This window comes from Homo sapiens, chromosome 3 (assembly GCF_000001405.40).
Source record: "Homo sapiens chromosome 3, GRCh38.p14 Primary Assembly".
In the NCBI taxonomy this organism is placed as follows: domain Eukaryota; kingdom Metazoa; phylum Chordata; class Mammalia; order Primates; family Hominidae; genus Homo; species Homo sapiens.
Window position 1 is genome coordinate 45,638,072 of NC_000003.12, and position 20,772 is coordinate 45,658,843.

The window sequence follows — 20,772 nt, forward strand, 5'->3', positions numbered from 1 at the left end:
CAGTTGATGATTGTTACCCTGTGGAGATTGACCAGTTTTGCAATCTATTTAGCAAATTGATTTCAACATTCCTGATGGCCTATGGTTCTTTGAATTCTCCCCATTAAACCCATTAATTGGTTCCTTTATTAATTGATGAGTTAAATAAAGTCTTTGGCACATGTTTGTGTTTTATCCATATGGGAGTTGTGTTTAGGCCCCCCTTTATTTATTTATTTAGTTAGTTAAATTTTAATTTTAGTTTTAGATTCAAGACGTGCAGGTTTGTTACAAAGGTATATTGTGTGAATCTGAAGTTTGAGCTTCTATTGGTCCTGTCACCCACACAGTGAACATAGTACCCAGTAGAAAGTTTTTCAGCTATTTGGTTTTCTGTTTCTTGTGTTTCTATGTTGCTGCAAAGGACATGATGTCACTTTTTTATGGCTGTGTAGTATTCCATGGTGTATATGTACCACATTTTCTTTATTCAGTTACTGCTGATGGGCACCTAGGTTGATTCCATGTCTTTGCTATTGTGAATAGTGTGGTGATAAACATACGAGTGCAGGTATCTTTGGTAGAAGATGTACTTTTCTTTGCATATATATCCAGTAATGGGATTACTGGGTCAAATGGTAGCTCTATTTTTAGTTCTTTGAGAAATCTCCTAACTGTTTTCCACAGTGGCTGAACTAATTTACACTCCCACCAACTGTGTATAAGCATTGCCTTTTCTCTATAGCCTTGCCAACATCTACTTTTTGACTTTTTAATAATGGCCATTTTGTGGTTTTGATTTGCATTTCTTTGATGATAATGATGTGGAGGTTTGTTTTGTTTTGAGATGGGGTCTCACTGTGTCATCCAGGCTGGAGTGCCATGATGTAATTGTAGCTCACTGCAGCCTTGAACTCAAGCAACCCTTCTGCCTTAGCTTCTGAGTAGCTGGGACTGCGGGCATGTGCCACCATGCCCAGCTAATGGTTTAAAATTTTTGTAGAGACAGAGGTCTCGCTGTGTTGCCTAGGCTGGTCTTGAGCTCCTGACTTCTGGTGACCCTCCCACCTCAGCCTCCCACAGGGCTGGGATTACTGGCATAAGCCACCACACCTGACCCTTGAGCATTTTTTTCATGTTTGTTGGCTGCTTGTATCAGATCTTTGTTTACAATTTATCTTTGACCTTTGACTCCTACAACAGTTTCTCAATACTTGCTCTATTTTTCAGGAAAAAGAAAATAAATATTAAGGAGAGGCTGTTTTCCACCTCAAGCAGTTACCATTTGAATTAGGGAAGCTGTTGGTGAGGGAAAACCAATTGATGAGCGTCTTAGTCTGTTTGGACTGTTATAACAAAGTACCATACACTGGTTGGCTTATAAACAATAGAAATGTATTTCTCACAGTTCTAGATGCTGGAAAGTCCAAGATCAAGGTGCTGGCAGATGAGGTGTCTGTTGAGGGCCCACTTCCCGGGCACTCATATGGTAGAAGGGGAGCTCTCTGGGATCTCCTTTATAAGGGCACTAATCCCATTCCTGAGCGTTCCACCTCATGAGAATCACCTCCCAAAGGCCCTACCCCCTAATCCCGTCACCTTGGAGGTTAGGATTTTTTTTCTTTTTTTGAGATGGAGTTTTGCTCTTATTGCCCAGGCTGGAGTGCAGTGGCGCAGTCTCGGCTTACCGCAACCTCCGCCTCCTGGGTTCAAGCGATTCTCCTGCCTCAGCCTCCCAAGTAGCTGGGATTACAGCCATGCGCCACCAAACCTGGCTAATTTTTGTATTTTTAGTAGAGACAGGGTTTCTTCATGTTGGTCAGGCTGGTCTCGAAGTCCTGACCTCAGGTGATCTACCCGCCTCAGCTTCCCAAAATGCTGGGATTACAGGCGTGAGCCACCATGCCCGGCCAGAGGTTAGGATTTTAACATAGGAATTTTAGGGGGACATAGACATTCAGCCCATTGCAGATGAGTCTGTGGGTTCCACCCAAGGCTGCTAGAGTGGCTGTCTATTTCTTAATGGATTGAGTTTCTCTTTCTTCAAATTGTGACAAGCACAGACACTTAAGGAAGACAGACCTGGTTTGGGTTTTTGATTGGTCTAGCATTGAAGGCCTTTGTGGTCTTGTCCCTGTCTTATCACTTCCTGTTTCCTATTCCAGTCAAACTGAATTTCTCTTTTTCACTTCCATGCCTCTGATCACATTGTTATCTAGAATAGCCTCTCCCCATTCACTTAATACATTTCTCTGTCCAGTCTTATGACTCAGCTCAAATGCCTCCTCTTCCAGGAAGCCTTCCCTGTTTCCTTAGCAGGAAGAGACTTCTCCTGAATTTGGTGCACTCTGCTTTCTTGTTGTTTTTTGTTGTTGTTGTTGTTTTGTTTTGTTTTTAAGACGGATCTCACTCTGTTGCCCAGGCTGGAGTGCAGTGGCATGATCTCAGCCCACTGCAACCTCTGCCTCCCGGGTTCAAGCGATTCTCCTGCCTCTCAGCCTCCTAAGTAGCTGGAACTACAGGCATGTACCACCAGGCCCGGCTAATTTTTGTATTTTTCGTAGAGACAGGGTTTCACCATGTTGGCCAGGCTGGTCTTGAACTCCTGACCTCAGGTGATCTGCCTGCCTTGGCCTTCCAAAGTGCTGAAATTACAAGCGTGAGCCACCACTCCCAACCCTTGTTGGTGTTATTACATAGATGGTGAACCTCATTCTCTGTGGATCTATTGCCAGCAAACCAGGCCCTAGAACAGAGTTGCTGAAGGAATGAGGATTCGGATTTTGTCAAAAAGTGAGTGCAGGGGCATTGCTGTTTGCCCTGGGGCTGCACACCCTCCTGCTCTGTGAATGTCCCACTTCCTGTCCAGTTCCAAAGAGCAGTTGGAATGTTGGAGACTGGGCTTGTGTCTCAGCGGCTTCTCTTAGACACTGGAGGTGACTTGTCTTTTTTCAGTTACCAGATTGCTGCCCTTTACCTCAGTTTTCAGCAGAAGGAGGCACCCGGGAGCTCTGTGTCTCAGCTCTGCAGGTCCTGAGTGTGTCTCTGTGAGCCTCAACACCATGGAGACGGCACAGCTGGGGGTCTGGGTGCATCTAGGGCATCCCCTCCTTCTTAGAAGAGAAAATGGGGGCAGACAGGGGAAGAATTTCTCAAGGTCAAAAACCTGGCTATGGAGCTGGCATGGAATCCAGACCTCTTGAATCTATGCTCACCTGTACTTCCTTGTTTTTCTGGTTCTCCCTCCTCTGATTTATTTCCACCTAGTCAAGCAAAAATAAGTGTGTTTTCTCTGTTCTTTATCTTATCTTGGTTATTGATAGAGTCTGGTGAGTGTGTGTATTTCTGAACATACTTGTATATGTATCTTTTCTATTTTCCCATTTCAATTATGAAAATCTAGTTTAAAACACTATATATAGTATGTAAAGCCAGATTTTATATATAATTATATATATTTTATTTTATTTATATTTTTTATATATATATAGCATATGGCATATGGAGGTATCTGTTGGTATATACACATACTTCCTGAGGTCCATTGATACTGCATTAAACCATGGTATTTGGATACTGTTAAGCTCACACACATTTACAGGGCAAGTCCAGGGCCTGACTAGTTTGGTAAAGATACAACAAGCCACTGTTACTTTAGGCAGTTTATTACTTACATAGGCAGGCAACACAAAGAATGTGTCAAAGGTACCATCTTCCTGGGTCCTTGTCCCATACACTGAAGAGGATGACACTGAAGCAAAAGGGGCTGATGACTGCCACATAAGTGGGATTTTGAGAAGCAATTTTAGACTGCAGCTAAGTGGTCTCAGAGCCCACAGCTCTGTTCTGAGAGGCAGGCAGAAATTCCCATACCTCATTAGAGATGAGACACTGTCTGGTGACAGGCTCCTGGGGGAATAGGGAGGTGAATGAGAGACAGCCGTGCATCTTTTTATGTTCTGGAAGCCTACAAGGTGTTCCACCAAGATTCAGGCAAACCTTTGCATACATGGCTATGTGCAGTTCTCCCAGGCACCATGGCAGGTTCCCTTACACGGATATGAACATTTCCCCATCTGCTGATGAGAAGCAGCAATGGGGAAAGCTGTGAGAAAATTGTATCTTTTTTTTTTTTTTCTTTTTGAGACTGGGTCTTGCTCTGTCGTACAAGCTGGAGTGCAATGGTGGGATCACAGCTCACTGCAGCCTTGAACTCCTGGGCTCAGGCGATCCTCCTGCCTCAGCCTCCTGAGTAGCTGGGATTACAGACATGCACCACCATGTTCAGCTATTTTTTATTATTTTTTGTAGAGACAGGGTCTTGCTATGTTGCCCAGGCTGGTCTCAAACTCCTGGGCTCAAGCAGTCTGTCTGCCTTGGCGTCCCAAAGTGCTAGGATTATAGGCATGAGCCACCACATCTGGCTGCTGCAAAGACAATTTTAAAGACAGAAACCTGTTATGTTAGCATTGTAGCTCAGCTACTGTCACTTTTATGTTTTCCCTGCCAGGTTTTCCCCAAGTTTATACACATTTTTTAGAGTTGCGATCATAGTATATAAACAATGTTGTATCCTTTTCAATTTAACATCATGTCATAGTTCATAATAATAATTTTAAGTTACATGGTGATGGATGAGTTGTGCCACAGTTAATGGCTGGTTTGCAGGTTGTTACACACAGCCCCAGCCAGCATCTTCGTGCAGCATCTTTCTTTCCTTCTGTGGGATTGTTTCCTTGGTGCTCGTTCCAGCAGTAAGCATCAGGTTGTGGTGTGGGCGTTTGTGTGGTTTGTTCAAGTTCCCTTCTTCTTTGCTGTGCTCCTTGGGCTGGGAATGTTTGGTTGCCGTGGAGATGAGTGCTGTGGGTCTCCCTCCTCTCCCCTCAGGCTCTGCCCACCCCAGGCGGCCATGCCCCCCCACTGGCACTGGACACTCTCAGGAAGCTGTTGGCACACCCTGGAGTGGGAGGGAGGTCTGTGGAGAGGACAGGAGTGGCCTTTGTTGACAGCTGTGTCTACTTACATGTCAAGTGGCCTGTCTGAGGGAGGCTGGCTCCCACCTGTGCCTCAGAAGCAGCAGCATGAGAGGAGGAAAAACACGCTGACTTGTGGGGTTGAGTGGACTTCTCGGCACCTTCAAGAATAGTCTGGGAGGCCAGGCGTGGTGGCTCAATCTGTAATCCCAGCACTTTGGGAGGTTGAGGCGGGTAGATCACTTGAGGTCACGAGTTTGAGACCAGCCTGGGCAATGTGGCAAAACCCCATCTCTACTAAAAATACAAAAATTAACCGCATGTGGTGGCACATGCCTATAATACTAGCTATTTGGGGGGCTGAGGCAGGAGAATCACTTGAACCCAGGAGGCGGAGTTTTCAGTGAGCCAAGATTGCGCCACTGTACTCCATCCTGGGCGACAGGGTGAGACTCTGTCTCAAAAAAAAAAAAAAGAATGGTCTGTGAGGGAGAAGTAGGCAAGGTCCTGTGTGCTCACTCCAGGCAGATTGAGGTTTAAAAACTAAGACGTTCATTTCACAGACTAAACAAATTCCATCCTACTTGCCATGTTAGTGTCATGATTCCTATTAGTTTTTCGGTGATATGAGACGGAAAATGATGGACTAGGTAAATATACTCTCCCCGCCAGAAGCCCATGGAGCAGGGGGGTGCCCACCTTGGGGATGGAAGCTGGGAAGCAGCCAGTCCCACAGTTGACAGAAATTACGCCTAGTGCAGGTCCGAGCTCAGTGGAAGGCTGCAGAGGGCCAGACGGGGTCCACTTGGGATGGTGCTGGAATGTGTAAGTCAAGGCCAGAATGAATTGCAGTGGTGTAACCTACTGTTTGTATTGCTCGGTGTAAGATGCACTGTGACCTGCCAGCCATGCCTTAGTGGGGAGAAAAAAGCAAAACTAAGATTATATACCATTGCTCATTTCACCTTCCAAAAACCGAATGTCCATGGCTGTTGAAGACTGCGAATGGGATTTATAGTAAAATCTCACTTGTTGAGACCCAGTTGGAAGAAAGCCTTTCTTAGTAATAAAAAGCCTGCATCTAGAACACTCACAAAATGCCATTTTGTTACTTGAGATAAATAAAACAATTAGGACCAAGCCTAGTGTTGTGGAACAGAGGTTCTTAGCGAATGAATAAGTCCTTGGTGATTGACTCACCAGTTAGTTCGCCTCTGAAGGACTGGAGGGTTCTTGCCAGCTATTTTGTTTTTCTTACAAAGTCTAAATACTGCATCTGAAATCCTTTCCCTTTTTTGTTGACTTTGTAAATGACCTCGTCAACCCAGCCCCTGAAAATGCTTACACATTTTGAATGAGTTAAGCCTGAACTAGGGAGGTCTTCCTTTAATTCATGCAGGTCTGCTTCTGTAAAACAGTCACTGCGATATTTATAGATAATTTTGGGTAAGCTTTCTAGCTTACCGTGGGCCTGACACCGCATAACCCTCCTCCACCCATGGCGGCGCACTAAATCCTGTAACAATTCAGGGAGTTCAACGTTCATTATTATTATTACTCTCAACTTAAGATGTACAGATTGAGGCTTGGAGAGTTTAGTTTGTGGTTGGTTTCGTCACTGTTAAGTGGTGTGGTCAGCACTTGAACCCAAGACCTGTGGATCCACAGCTCTTGCTGTTAGCCACTGTATTAAATTACCTTTGCTTAGAGAGAGTATTTGCCAAAGACAGGAGCCGGGCTGTAGCCATGGGGCCTTGCCTTGACTTTTCAGGTTCAGCCGCTGCCTTGGGGTTGTGTGACAACAGAGACTGGATTTTTGGCCACCCTCGAGTTGTGAGTGCAGGAGAGTGGCCTGGGGCTGGGAATAGGGGAGGTAGAATTCAATCATGGGATGCACCCATAGTAGAGAAATGGACTAAGGGCTTTAATCCCTGAGTTTCTGAGCTGTCGAATTGTCCGAATATTTCTCATCATATTCAGCAGTTCTGTATGAGCTGAATGAGTCAGCAGGACCTAAGGAAAAAGCTGAAGATCAAGAATGTGAGAAAGGAAGAGTGGGCAGATGCTAAAGGAAATCAGTGGGCACAGGAAAGATCAGGAAGCAACCAAAATAGGCTGGAGCTGGCCAGAGGGCTGCAGGGATCGGAAGAGAGTGGAGGGGCCACTTACTTTGGTTATCAAAGGGTCTCTTGTGTCCGTCTCCTGCAAGCCTAGTTCTGCTAGTGCACTGGAGTTGGGGCCAAACCTGGTTTCCCAGGTCAGACTCTGCTGGTTCAGTCAGAGGCCAGGAAGTCCCTGACAGGGAAGACCATCAGATTCCTTTGTTCCTATCGTCTGAACACAGTCTGAGAGGTTTCGCAGTATATTGTAGAGGCTAACTTTGGTGTAACCTATACCTTATGTGGCCATGTCTGCATCCTAAGCTCCTGATATTGCACATGTCTGGTTTTTGTTGGAAGTCTGTACCTTTCCTCCGTGGTAGTCCCAGACCAAGGGTGATACTTGGCGGTGCCCAGGGTGTCACCTGTCTTCTCAAGTGGAAGAGGAGAATGAAGAGCACTCCAGTACGCCAGGAGCATCACACCGTAATTAGCAGGAAGATGTTGCACCGCAGTGCCTCATCTCAGAGCCAGAGTCCTGGGTTAGGGAGTAAACTCTTTTACCTAGGCCTGACTGTATTCTGGCATTGTAGGCACTCCTCAGGTTTCTGTGGCCCTCTCATCTCACTGAGGGTATCCCTTCTTCATGTGTCTCTCAGCTCTTCTCTTAGATTTCTGCCCCTGGCTCTGGCCCCTTCAGATTCCTTCTCCTTCTCTTTCCCTTCCCTCCTCTCTCCTCCTTTCACCAACAGTTTTGTTTGCACCCATAGTTGCCCATCAGTGGATCCATGCCTGTAAGCCAGTGTAATACAAGCTGCTGTCTGTGGAGCATTTATTGCATTTATTGCAGTGAGCCGTGATCGTGCCACTGCACTCCAGCCTGAGTGACAGAGCGAGACTCTGTCTCAAAAAAAAAAAAAAAAAAGATTTAGGAACCAGAGGCTTTATATGCAGTCCAGTACAGTAGCCACAAGCTGCACGTGGCTGTCTTCTTATGTCCCTTGCTTGCCTTCCAGCCACACTCATCTTACACAAGAGGTCATGGGGTCTCAGAGCGGTTGCCCAGCTGGTGAGTGGGGAAGTGTGTTCGTGCCCAGGGGCAGGTGGCCACTGTGTATACACTTGCCACCATATCCATGGCCTTCACCCCTCACTGTGCGTCAGTCGCCATCACAAGGGGCCTGTTGCAGTGCCGACCTCTGCCTCTGCCTGCAGAGATCCTGATTTCTGAGATCTGTGTGTGCAGGGGGAGCATCCTGGGGGATTGTGATGAAGTTAGCTGGGAACTTGGCTGTGGCCCTGCAGTGGGCCTCACCACCAGCCCACTTGACCTTCATGTGGACTTCAGTCCTCTGGCCTCTCTCTGACCTGTAGACCTGCACCATCTAACACAGCAGCTACTGGCCACCTGGGGCTCTTGAGCACTTGAAATGTGGCTAGTGTGACTATGGAACTGCATTTTCCATTTTATTTCATTTTAATTAATTAAAGTTTAAATTTATTTTAGTAGCCATGTACAGCTTGTGGCTACTGTATTGGACTGCATGTAAAGCCTCTTGTTCCTAAATCTTTTTTTTTTTTTTTTGAGACAGTCTCACTCTGCCATTCAGGCTGGAGTGCAGTGCTGCATTATGGCTCACTGCAACCTCTGCCTCATGGGCTAAAGTGATCCTCCCACCTCAGTCCCTTTAGTCCCCTGGCTAATTTTTTTGAAATTAATTTTTGTAGAGTTGGAGTCCCACTATGTTGCCCAGATTGGTCTCAAACTCCTGGGTTCAAGTGATCCTCCCGCCTTGGCCTCCCAAAGTGCTGGAATTACAAGTGCAAGCCACAATGCCCGGCCTCTAAATCTTAGCCAGAGTTCACTTATTAGTAGGAAATTATTCATGAAGTTTCTTGTTTTTGATATTTTATACATCACCAAGTCAATGTAGTCACATTGTCAAAAAATGTATATGGGAGAAGAAAATCACCTATAATTCAATACCAAAAAGAACCCCCAAAAATGTATGCTGTGCCTACATAGACGTTTTTGCCTGGTTGTCATCACAGTGTATGTTTGCTTTTATGCCCTGCTTTTTCCACTTAGAAATATATCATATGCCTTTTCCCTCATTGCTTCATAGTCTTCATAACCATCTGCTGCGTAAGATCCTGTTGATTTGATGACTCAAAGCCAACATAACCTTCTTGCCAGTTAAAGTTTAAAGGGGAAGTGAACTCTTACCATGGGAGCTCCCAGACTCTTCCCAGGAGTACTGAGGCTGGCTGAGTGTGGATCCTGTGGCCAGGTTTTCAAGGACCAGATGCATAGCAGGGCACGGGTCAGCCTGGGGGTCCGGCAAATCCAATGCCTGGCCAGAGGATGCAGGCCCTTCCCTGTGTTCAGGGGCAGGGTGACAGCTGCCTCTCCACATCCGCAGCAGCCCTGCAATGGTCACCATTGGTGGCATTTGGATGCCAGCAGGGTCCCATATGCCCTGTTTTGGGCAGAGCGTCTCTGTCTCTTGCATGGATCACTGCTGTCACCTCCAGTCTGGTCTCTGGGCACAGCAGCGAGGAGGCCACTCCACAGCTCAGAGACCTTCAGCTACTTTTTGCCTTAACATTGTAGTCCAGTTCTTTTGCCTGGTGTTTAAGACATTTCCTTAAATTAGTTCTAACTTCCTTCCTGTCTTCTTTCTTTCTAACTATCCCCCTCCTCCGCTGCCCCACAGCCTCCCGAAGTGCTGAAGTCCCTGGCCACACTGCACATCACCTGTCCTTTTCTACCCCTGTACCTTGTCACCCTTAGCCTCCATCACCACCCAGGTGAATATCACTCTCCCTTCAGTGTCTTCCATTGCCATCTCCATTGCTACTCTCCTGATCTTGGGTCCCATGTGCACCCTTCATTTGCCTGTCCTATGGTGTTTTCAATTATGATTAGATTGAAACTGTTTGCAGGAATCTCTATCTCCCCCTAGGTGATCAGTTTTGGGAAAAATAGGGACAGGGTTTAACTGATCATGATTTTACTCCTTATAACCCTTCAGCACCTTTAGTATAATTCTGAACACAGAATAAATGTTGGAATAAATAAAGGTGACACTTCCCCATTACCTGGTACTCATCACTTCACCTCCTTACTCACCTTCCCTCATCCCTAAGCAACCACTGATCTTCCTATCCCTATAGATTTGCCTATTCTGGATATTTCATATGAATGAAATCATACAATATATGATCTTCTGTGTCTGGCTTTTTTCACTTAGCGTGCATTCCAGGTTCATCCACGTTGTAGTATGAATCAGTATCTCATTTCTTTTTATGGCTGAATAGTATTCCCTTGTATAGATGTACCATATTTTGTTTATCCATTCAGCAGTTGATAGACACTTGTTTTTATTTTTGGCTATTATAAATAATGTTGCTATGAACATTCCTAGGCAGGTGTTTATGTGAATGTATCATTTCTGTTCTCTTGGGTAAATATTAGGAGTGAAATTGCTGGGTCATATGGTAACTGTGTTTAACCTTTTGAGGACCTGTTTTTTAAAGAAGCTCTACCATGTTACATTCCCACCAGCCATGTATGAGAGTTCCAGTATTTCCACATCCTTGCCAACGCTTAGGCTTATCTAGTTTTTTTATTCTAACTATCCTATTTGGTGTGAAGTTGGATCTCATTGTGGGTTTTGATTTGCATTTTCCTGATGATTAATGATGTTGAGCATCTTTTCATACATTTATTGGCCATTGGTATGTCTTATTTGGAAAAATGTCTTCTCAATTCCCTGCTCATTTTTACTTGGATTGTCTTTTTATTATTGAGTCTTAATCGTTCTTTGTATAGGATTTGGGAATATTTTCTTTCATTCTGTGGACTGTCATTTCATTTCTTGATGGTATTGTTTACAGCACAAAGGCTTTAAATTTTGATGCAGTAGAATTTATCTACTTTTTTTCTTTTTTTGCCAGTGTTTTGGTGCTTTTTGTAGGAAAACATTGGCTGACCCAAGGTCACAAAGATTCATGTCCATGTTTTCTTCTAAATGTTTTAAAGAGATTTAACTAATAAGAAAAAAGTCTCACTTGTCCTCGCATTTGCCATTTCTGCTCCTTCTCATCCCTTTGTTTAGATTCAGGTTTTCATCTGGTACCATTTTTCCTTCTGCTTGAAGGACTTCTCTTAACATTTTTTCTTTTTCGTATGCTGATTTGGTGATGAATTCTTTAAACTTTTGTATTCTGAATTTATCTTTCTTTCATTTTTTTATTTTAAAATATATTTTTTTGGCTGGGCGCGGTGGCTCACGCCTGTAATCCCAGCACTTTGGGAGGCCGAGGCGGGCCAATCATGAGGTCAGAAGATCGAGACCATCCTGACTAACATGGTGAAACCCCGTCTCTACTAAAAATACAAAAAATTAGCCGGGCATGGTGGCGGGTGCCTGTAGTCCCAGCTACTGGCGAGGCTGAGGCAGCAGAATGGCGTGAACGCAGGAGGCAGAGCTTGCAGTGAGCCGAGATTGCACCACTGCACTCCAGCCTGGGCAACAGAGTGAGACTCTGTCTCAAAAAAAAAAAAATTATATATATGTATACATATATATATATAAAATTATATAGATATATTTATATATAATTATATATTTTATATATATAATTATATATATAAAATATATATATTGCTGGATATAGAATTCTAGCTTGATACTTTTTTGAGTTCCTTGAAGTTTTTTTGTTTTTTTTTTTTTTACTATTTTCTCCCTTTTTTTTTTTAATGAGAAATCTGATATCTCTATTCTCTGTATGTGACATGTTTTTCCCCCATTCTGGCTGCTTTTAAGATTTCATCATTGATTTTGAGAAATTTGATTATGATATCCTTGGTGTGCTTTTCATGTTTCTTGTGCTTAGGGGTTTGTTGAGCTTCTTGGATCTGTGTGTTTGTAGTCAGTCTTCATCAAATCTATTTCTTCACATTCCTCCCCATCCACTAGGGACTCCAATTACTCCAATCTTAGGCATCTTGAAGTTGTCCCAGAGCTCACTTATGCCCATTTCGTTATTTAAAAAGTTCTTTTCCTCTCATTTCATTTTGGACATTTTCTATTGCTGTACCTTTAAATTCACTAATGTTTTCTCTTGCATGGTGTAATCTGCTATTAATCCCATCCAGTGTATTCTCTTTTCTAAAATTTTTAAAAAGCTTTTTGTTATTTATTTATGTATCTTTTTTTAAATTATACTTTAAGTTCTGGGGTACATGTGCACAATGTGCAGTTTTGTTACATAGGTATACATGTGCCATGTTGGCTTACTGTACCCATAAACTCATCATTTACATTAGGTATTTCTCCTAATGCTATCCCTCCCCCAGCCCCCCACCCCCCCCAACAGGCCCCAGTGTGTGATGTCCCCTCCCTGTGTCCACGTGTTCTGATTGTTCAACTCCCACTTATGAGTGAGAACATGCGGTATTTGGTTTTCTGTCCTTGTGATAGTTTGCTGAGAATGATGGTTTCCAGCTTCATCCATGTCCCCAAAAAGGACATGAACTCATCCTTTTTATGGCTGCATAGTATTCCGTGGTGTATATGTTCCACATTTTCTTTATCCAGCCTATTATTGATGGATATTTGGGTTGGTTCCAAGTCTTTGCTATTTTGAATAGTGCCGCAATAAACATAACGTGTGCGTGTGTCTTTATAGCAGCATGATTTATAATCCTTTGGGTATATGCCCAGTAATGGGATGGCTGGGTCAAATGGTATTTCTAGTTGTACATCCTTGAGGAATTGCCACGCTGTCTTCCACAATGGTTGAACTAATTTACACTCCCACCAACAGTGTAAAAGCGTTCCTGTTTCCCACATCCTCTCCAGCGTCTGTTGTTTCCTGACTTTTTAATAATCGCCATTCTAACTGACATGAGATGGTATCTCATTGTGGTTTTGATTTGCATTTCTCTGATGACCAGTGATGATGAGCATTTTTTCATATGTCTGTTGGCTGCATAAATGTCTTCTTTTGAGAAGTGTCTGTTCATATCCTTTGCACACTTTTTGATGGGGTTGTTGTTTTCTTGTAAATTTGTTTAAGTCCTTTGTAGATTCTGGATATTAGCCCTTTATCAGATGGGTAGATTGTAGAAATTTTCTCCCATTCTGTAGGTTGCCTGTTCACTCTGATGGTAGTTTCTTTTGCTGTGCAGAAGCTCTTTAGTTTAATTAGATCCCATTTGTCTATTTTGGCTTTTGTTGCCATTGCTTTTGGTGTTTTAGTTATGAAGTCCTTGCCTGTGCGTGTGTCCTGAATGGTACTGCCTAGATTTTATTCTAGGGTTTTTATGGTTTTTGGTCTTACATTTAAGTCCTTAATCCATCTTGAGTTAATTTTTGTGTAAGGTGGAAGGAAGGGATCCAGTTTCAGCTTTCTACATATGGCTAGCCAGTTTTCCCAGCACCATTAAGTAGGGAATCCTTTCTCCATTGCTTGTTTTTGTCAAGTTTGTCAAAGATCAGATGGTTATTTTTTTTTTTAAGATGGAGTCTTGCCCCCATTGTGCAGGCTGGAGTGTAGTGGCATGATCTCAGCTCAGTGCAACCTCCACCTCCCGGGTTCAAGCGATTCTCCTTCCTCAGCCTTCCAAGTAGCTGGGATTACAGGCATGCACCACATGCCTGGCTAATTTTTGTATTTTTAGTAGAGACAGGGTTTTGCCACGTTGGCCAGGCTGGTCTCAAACTCCTGACCTCAGGTGATCCACCTGCCTCGGCCTCCCAAAGTGCTAGGATTATAGGCGTGAGCCACCGCACCCGGCCTGTTATTTATTTTGAGACAGAGTCTTGCTCTGCTGCCCAGGCTGGAGTGCAATGGTGTGATCTCGGCTCACTGCAACCTCCGCCTCCCAGGTTCCAGCGATTCTCACGGGTCAGCCTCCTAAGTAGCTGGGATTACAGGCATGAGCCACCATGCCTGGCTAATTTTTGTATTTTTAGTAGAGGTGGAGTTTTACTATGTTGGCCAGGCTGATCTCAAACTCCTGTCCTCAAGTGATACGCCTTCCTTGGCCTCCCTAAGTGCTGGCATTACAGGTGAGAGCCACCATGCCCGGCCAGCCAATGTATTGTTTATCTCAGACATTTTGGTTTTCATCTCTAGCAGCTCAGTTTGAGCCTTTTAAATATTTTCCATGTTGCTACTTAACATTTCCAACATATTGAATATAGAAACAATAGCTTTTAATGTCCTTCTCTGCTAATTCTAATATCTGTGTCTGATCGGGGTTGATTTCCATAGATTGATTATTCTCTTCCCTGTGGGTTGTGCTTTCCTGCCTCTTTGCATGCCTGGGAATATTTGATTGGCTGCCAGACATTGTAAACTTTACCTTTTTGAGTCTTGGATATTTTGTATTCTTTCAATCTTCTGAGCATTGTTCTGGGATGCTGTTAAATTATTTAGGAACAGTGATTCTTTCTAGTCTTGCTTTTATGATTTATTAGATGAATTCAAAGCAGAGCTCAGTCTAGGGCTCTATTATTCCTCATTCTCAGGGCTGGTGGGAATAGGCACTGTTTCCAGCTTTTGTGGGTGCCAGGCACTGTTCTTGCGAATCCTGCAGATGTTTGTCCTCTGACTTTGGTTAGTTTCCTCACAGGCAAGAGCTGATCCATGCTCTGCTGAACACTTAACGGAGACCCTCTGCACATCTCTGGGTTGTCTCTGTGTGCAGTATTCTCATCTCTGATCCAGACGATAATAGCCTGGAATAGGGGAAATGGAAAACTAACTATAAGACAAAGACTTTGGAGTGGCACGTGAGAAGAGAATTGGAGCGTGAGGCAGCAGTGCTCAGAACATGGTCCTTGGCCAGCACCAGCAAAGGCCGAGAAAGAGATGAGAACGTTTAGAGACCTTCCTAAGAGTTTGACAGAGTGGCTTTGTGTCAGTTGAATTGGATAATAACTACAGTTGGGGCTTGGATTTTATGTTTCATTTTTCTATATTATTGTATTTTACAAGATAATAAGTCTGACAGATGGAAATTAAAAACAAAAGCCTCCCATACCTAGCCCTTTGCCACAGATAAACTGAGAAGGAAGGAGTGATGTAGGGGATTTGGATGAGGAGGGAGAGAGGGTGGTGGTTATGATTCTTAGCTCTGGTGGGTGTCATTTGAGGAAACGGAAGGTCAGGTAGGGATGCTGGCAACAGTCACACCAGATGCCTGGTATGAGGTGCACTGGGCTGCGTTCCCTACTGTGATCCCACTTTTATCCTTACCAGGGAACCTGAAGGGTTTGGGTGACAGCCAGGGTCTCATTTCAGGGAAGGGGCAAAGGCAAGGTTGGACCCCAAGCCTGAGTGCTTTTCCACTTTGCCCCTTTCTGCTGTGCTCCTTGGCTTACTGAGGCTTGGCAAGCCTGCAAAATCGAGGCTGGATCTCTCCTTCACTTGAGCCAAACCAAATTGATTTGTTTTTAGCAATATCTTTTAAGAGTTAACCTATTCTGGGGCTGGGTGTTGTGGCCTATGCCTCTAATCCTAGCACTTTGGGAGGCTGAGGTAGCCAGATCACCTGAGGTCAGGAATTCAAGACCAACCTGGCCAACATGGTGAAACCCCATCTCTACTAAAAATACAAAAATTACCTGGGAGTGATGGTGCATGCCTGTAGTCCCAGCTACTCAGGAGGCTGAGCCAGGAGGATGGCTTGAATCCAGAAGGCGGAGGTTGCTGTGAGCCAAGATTGCACCACTGCACTCCAGCCTGAGTGACGGAGCAAGACTGTCTCAAAAAAAAAAAAAAAAAAAGAAAAAGAAAAAAAAAAAAGAACCTATTCTAGAAAAGCTATTTGAAGAAGTAGATTGGTTAGAATTTTGTGCGATGATGCAGATATTCTAAAGCTTCCCTAGTCACAAGTGGCCATCAAGTACTCAAGATATACTTGTTCAAGCCCTGGCGCTAAATTTTTGATGTTATCTTAATTGATTTAAACTTACATAAATAACCACATGTGGCTAGTAGCCACCATGGACAGTACAGGTAGAAGTCACTAACTGGGACAGTACAATCAAAACAATCCAAGTGACTACTGATTTTTACTTTCTTTTCTCGGAAACTCTTCTCATTGTTGGGAAACCCTTGCATTTTTACTTCTCAGGGAGATATTTTGGAACTGAAATTTGTGGTGGAGTCTTACCGCCAAGGACCAGTTATGTTTCCAGAATAGGTTATAGCTTATTTCTATTTTATAGGGAAGGAAGAGTGGTGAGTATTATTGCACGTTTTAGTTTTGTCAGATTAAATGGCTGACCTCTCTTTGTGATGTCCTTAACTCTTGTTTCCTTTGTTAAACTACACCGGCTTTATCAGATGCATTTTTCTCTTTTAAACTGAGGATGGCTTGAAGGCAAATATAAAATACTCATTCACGGCCTGCAGGTGGCTCACACCTGTAATCCCAGCACTGTGGGAGGCTGAGGCAGGTGAATAGCTTGAACCCCGGAGTTTGAGACCAGCCTGGGCAACATGGTGAAACCCCGTCTCTACTAAAAATACACACAAAAAATTAGCCAGTCATGGTGGCATCCACGTGTGTTCCCAGCTACTCAAGGCTGAGGTGGGAGGATTGCTCTAGCCCAGGAGGAGATTGCACCACTGCACTCCAGCCTGGGTGACAGAGTAAGACCCTGTCTCAAAAAAAAAAAAAAAAAAAAAAGAAAAAAGAAAAAATTCATTCACTACATCTACAGGAAGTGTCTTTTTGGAGTGGATTCTCTGTGAGTCTGCACATTTATCAGTCAATTTTTTTTTTTTTTTTTAAGACATAGTCTCACTCTGTCACCCAGGCTGGAGTACAATGGTGCAATCTCAGCTCACTGCAACCTCTGCCACCCGGGTTCAAGTGATTCTCCTGCCTCAGCCTCCTGAGTAGCTGGGATTACAGGCTCACGCCACCAGGCCTGGCTAATTTTTGTATTTTTAGTAGAGATGGGGTTTCACCCTGTTGGCCAAGCTGGTGTCGAACTCCTGACCTCAAGTGATCTGCCTACCTCAGCCTCCCAAAGTGCTGGGATTATAGGCATGAGACACCACACTCGGCCTATCAGTCAATATTTTATAAACGGCTGATGTAAATAAAGAAAATAAAGAGCATTTTGACTACTGTCTTCTAAACTGTAAAAATGGTCTATTGAGTATATATTTAGTGTGACGATCATCAGCTATTTCCTAGTGGAGGGAATTCCTTTACTGGAAGCAGGACGATTCTGAAACTAGAATTATAAAGATGTAACACTGACACTCCCACCCCCAGTTTATGTTTGATGCTGATTATTCAGGGATGGTTTAGGTCTTAGCATTTTTGACCAAGATGAACAGCATCAAATGGAAGTGCCAGTTCAGAGACAAGCCTGAGGCATAGTCTGACTTGGTGGTTCTCAAAGTGTGGTCCCTGGACTAGCACCATCAGCATCACTAGGGAACTTAACTAGAAATGCAGAGTCTCGGGCCCCTTCCCACACTTACTAAGTCAGCAGTCTGTGTTTCAACAAACTCACCTGGTGGTTCTGAAGCATGCTAAGGTTTGAGAACCACCTAAGTTTTTGGTGTTTATCCCTCGGCTATTCCATTTTGTCCTCTGTCCTTATTAGCTCTGCCAAAGCCGCAGCAGCTCCCTAGTGTTACGTCTCTACGTATGAGCCGCCATAACAAGTCAGTGAGGACAGTGAAATTTGCCTCTTCAAGGGAGCAGAAGGAAGTTTAATTGGGAATGCCAGGAAATCCATCTACTTCCCTGGAAGGACTGAACGTTTATACCGCCCCCTCACAAATCCTTATGTTGAATCTCTAATCCCAACATGATGGTATTTGGAGGTGGAGTCTTTGGGAGGTGATTAAGTTATGAGAGTGGATACTTCCTGAATGGGATTAGTGTCCTTATAAGAAGAGCTCAGAGATGTAGTTAGTTCCCTTTCCACCATGTGAGAAAACAGCAGGAAGACAGCCATCTGTAAATCAGGAACTGGATCCTCACCAAGAACCTGACCCTACTAGCACCCTGATGTTGGACTTCCAACCTCCAGAGCTGTGAGAAATAAATGTCTATTGTTTAAGCTACTCACTTTATGGTATTTTGTTCTAACAGCCTAAAATGACTAAGACATTCCCCTTAGTCTGAGAGATATTCCTTTTGGAACAGAAAACAAGAGAGACAGTATAGTGTGGTGGAAAGAGTGTTGACTTTGCACAAGAGAGACCTGGGTTCGAATCTCAACTTTTCTATTTAACTTTTAGCTACATAGGTGAATTTAACCTCTTTAGCTTTTGTTTCTCCATCAGAAAAAAAAAAAAAAGCATCAGTAACTCAACCGTAATATAGTAAGTGAGTTTCCTTTTTCTTTTTCTTTCTTTTTTTTTTTGAGACGGAGTCTCACTCTGTCGCCAGGCTGGAGTGCAGTGGTGCAATCTCGGCTCACTGCAACCTCGGCCTCCCGGGTTCAAGCGATTCTCCTGCCTCAGCTTCCTGAGTAGCTGGGATTACAGGCACGCACCACCACACCCAGCTGGTTTTTGTATTTTTAGTAGGGACGGGGTTTCACCATGTTGGCCAGGATGGTCTTGGTCTCCTGACCTCATGATCCGCCCACCTTGGCCTCCCAAAGTGCTGAGATTACAGGCGTGAGCCACCACGCCCAGCCGACAAGTGAGTTTCAACTGCCCAAACGTCAGGGCACATTATTGCAAGATTAATGAAATGACTCAAGCAGGCCTCCAGGGCTGGCTGGCTTGGGGTAAATTGTGCTGCTTCAACCTGTCCTTGTCCTGGCTGTGGTTTGGCACCACCTAGTGGCGGTTGGGTGCTCTAGCTTAAATGTCAATAAGGAGGATTCTGGATCCTGCTCTTGATTGGAACTTTCAGGACAGTGGCAGTGATTCCAGGAATTTTCAGGTTAGTTGGCGTCTGTTTCATTGGCCAAATCTGGGGTGATTCAGCCTGGAGAATACCTTTTCTGCCTCCCTGCTTCTCAGCACCAGGTTGCTTGCTGTTTCCTACCTGGCCTCAGCCTCCTCTCAGCAACCCCCTTTCTCCAAAGATACAAACTTTAGCCTGTCTCCAAGTGGAAGGTTACCTATCAAGTTACATCTAAATGCCTGTCATCACAAGGAGTTTTTACGGAGCTGTTCATGACACTTAAGTGAGACATGAGGCAAGTAAAAGGCCCAGTACCTAGAAAGTGTTTGAATGAAAATTCCCTTTTCCGGCCAGATATGGTAACTCACACCTGTAATCTCAACGCTTTGGGAGGCCAAGGCGGGAGGATTGCTGAGACCAGGAGTTCGAGGCTGCAGTGAGCTATGATTGTACCACTGCACTCCAGCCTGGGCAACAGAGCAAGACGCTGTCTCAAAAAAAAAAAAAAAAAAAAGGAAAAAGAAAGAAAGGCCTGTCCCATTTCCTGGCAGAAGAGAGAAACTGGATTCTGCATATAGGTGTGCATCCAACAAGCATTAAATACTGCTGCATGGCCTCATGGTGCAGTGGAACAAGCACAGTCTTCACAGTCAGACAAATCTGGGTTCCCATCCTGCCCACTTACTACCTGGGTAAGCCTCAATTTCCTTACTTATGAAATGAAAACGATAATGTGTAATTCATAAGTATCATATTTTTACTCCAGAAAGTTAGGAGTAATCCTTGGGTGTGATTTCAAGTGATTCCCAAAAATAATCAATTCCTGTATCCTTGTACTGCTCCATGACATTGACATGTGATGTGTTTTATTTCTGCCCGACTCTTTACTGAACCCTTTCTACGCTCACTGAAACCTGGAGTAGGTGATGGCTTTGAGTAGGAAATGACTTTGTGAGTTTCTTCCGTAAAAGGCATGTGACAGTACAGGGTCAGAAGGTGGAGTGATGCAGTAACCTGTGTGGCAAAGTTTTCAAGCATTTAAAAATATATGTGAAAGCCCTAAACATAGTACTTAGACCACAGAAGACAATCAGTAGATGTTAGGCTTTTCTCCCACTCAGAATACAAACAAATATATTTTGATACACTATCCAGTTTCTAACCTCAGGTGGTCTTTCAAAACCGAAGTGAAAAATGAAGTGTGAGTTCTTCAGAGCAAACTAAGCCCCACCCTCTTAGGTCAGTGGGGGAGTCTCAGTTTTTTAAAATTTGGAATAAAGGAAAATCAGACGTAGTCCCCCAACCCCCTGTACTGGCCTCCTGTGTCCGGACATGGGAATTCTCAGCTGTGGGAACTGGCAGCAAGAGGACTTATCTAGCCAGCTGGGCAATTTTTTAAATGATCAGAGCAATACCTGCTCATTGGTAAATCTTTGGGAAAGTGTAGGAAAGTATATAGAAGCAACCAACTAGGAAATAAACCATCCCCTCCACCATGCAGATTCTTTTTTTTTTTTTTTTTTTTTTTTTTTTTTTTGAGACTGAGTTTTGCTCATGTTGCTCATTGCAGGCTGGAGTGCAATGGTGTGATCTCAGCTCACCACAATCTCCACTCCTTGGGTTCAAGTGATTCTCCTGCCTCAGCCTCCTGAGTAGCTGGGACTACAGGCATGCACCACCATGCCTGGCTAATTTTGTATTTTTAGTAGAGAGGGGGCTTTTCCATGTTGGTCAGACTGGTCTTGAACTCCCGACTTCAGGCGATCTGCCCGCCTTGGCCTCTCAAAGTGCTAGGATTACAGGCATGAGCCAC

The 20,772-nt window shown here is 44.1% G+C and overlaps 1 protein-coding gene across 1 annotated transcript in view, besides 2 other annotated features; it reads left to right on the plus strand.

The window, feature by feature from the left end:
* LIMD1 (LIM domain containing 1) overlaps positions 1 to 20,772 on the plus strand; it is a 91,591-nt gene that overhangs the window by 43,321 nt on the left and 27,498 nt on the right. The gene's annotated exons all lie outside the window — the stretch shown is intronic.
* Positions 986 to 1,280: an enhancer, noted in NCBI's record as "tiled region #10324; HepG2 Activating DNase matched - State 5:Enh". NCBI's record gives its function as "activates a minimal TATA promoter and a strong SV40 promoter by Sharpr-MPRA in HepG2 cells {active_cell/tissue: HepG2}" and the evidence as "EXISTENCE:reporter gene assay evidence [ECO:0000049][PMID:27701403]".
* Positions 9,022 to 9,523: an enhancer, noted in NCBI's record as "H3K4me1 hESC enhancer chr3:45688585-45689086 (GRCh37/hg19 assembly coordinates)". NCBI's record gives its function as "activates a minimal SCP1, AML or CMV promoter by ChIP-STARR-seq in naive H9 embryonic stem cells {active_cell/tissue: H9 hESC(naive)}" and the evidence as "EXISTENCE:reporter gene assay evidence [ECO:0000049][PMID:30033119]".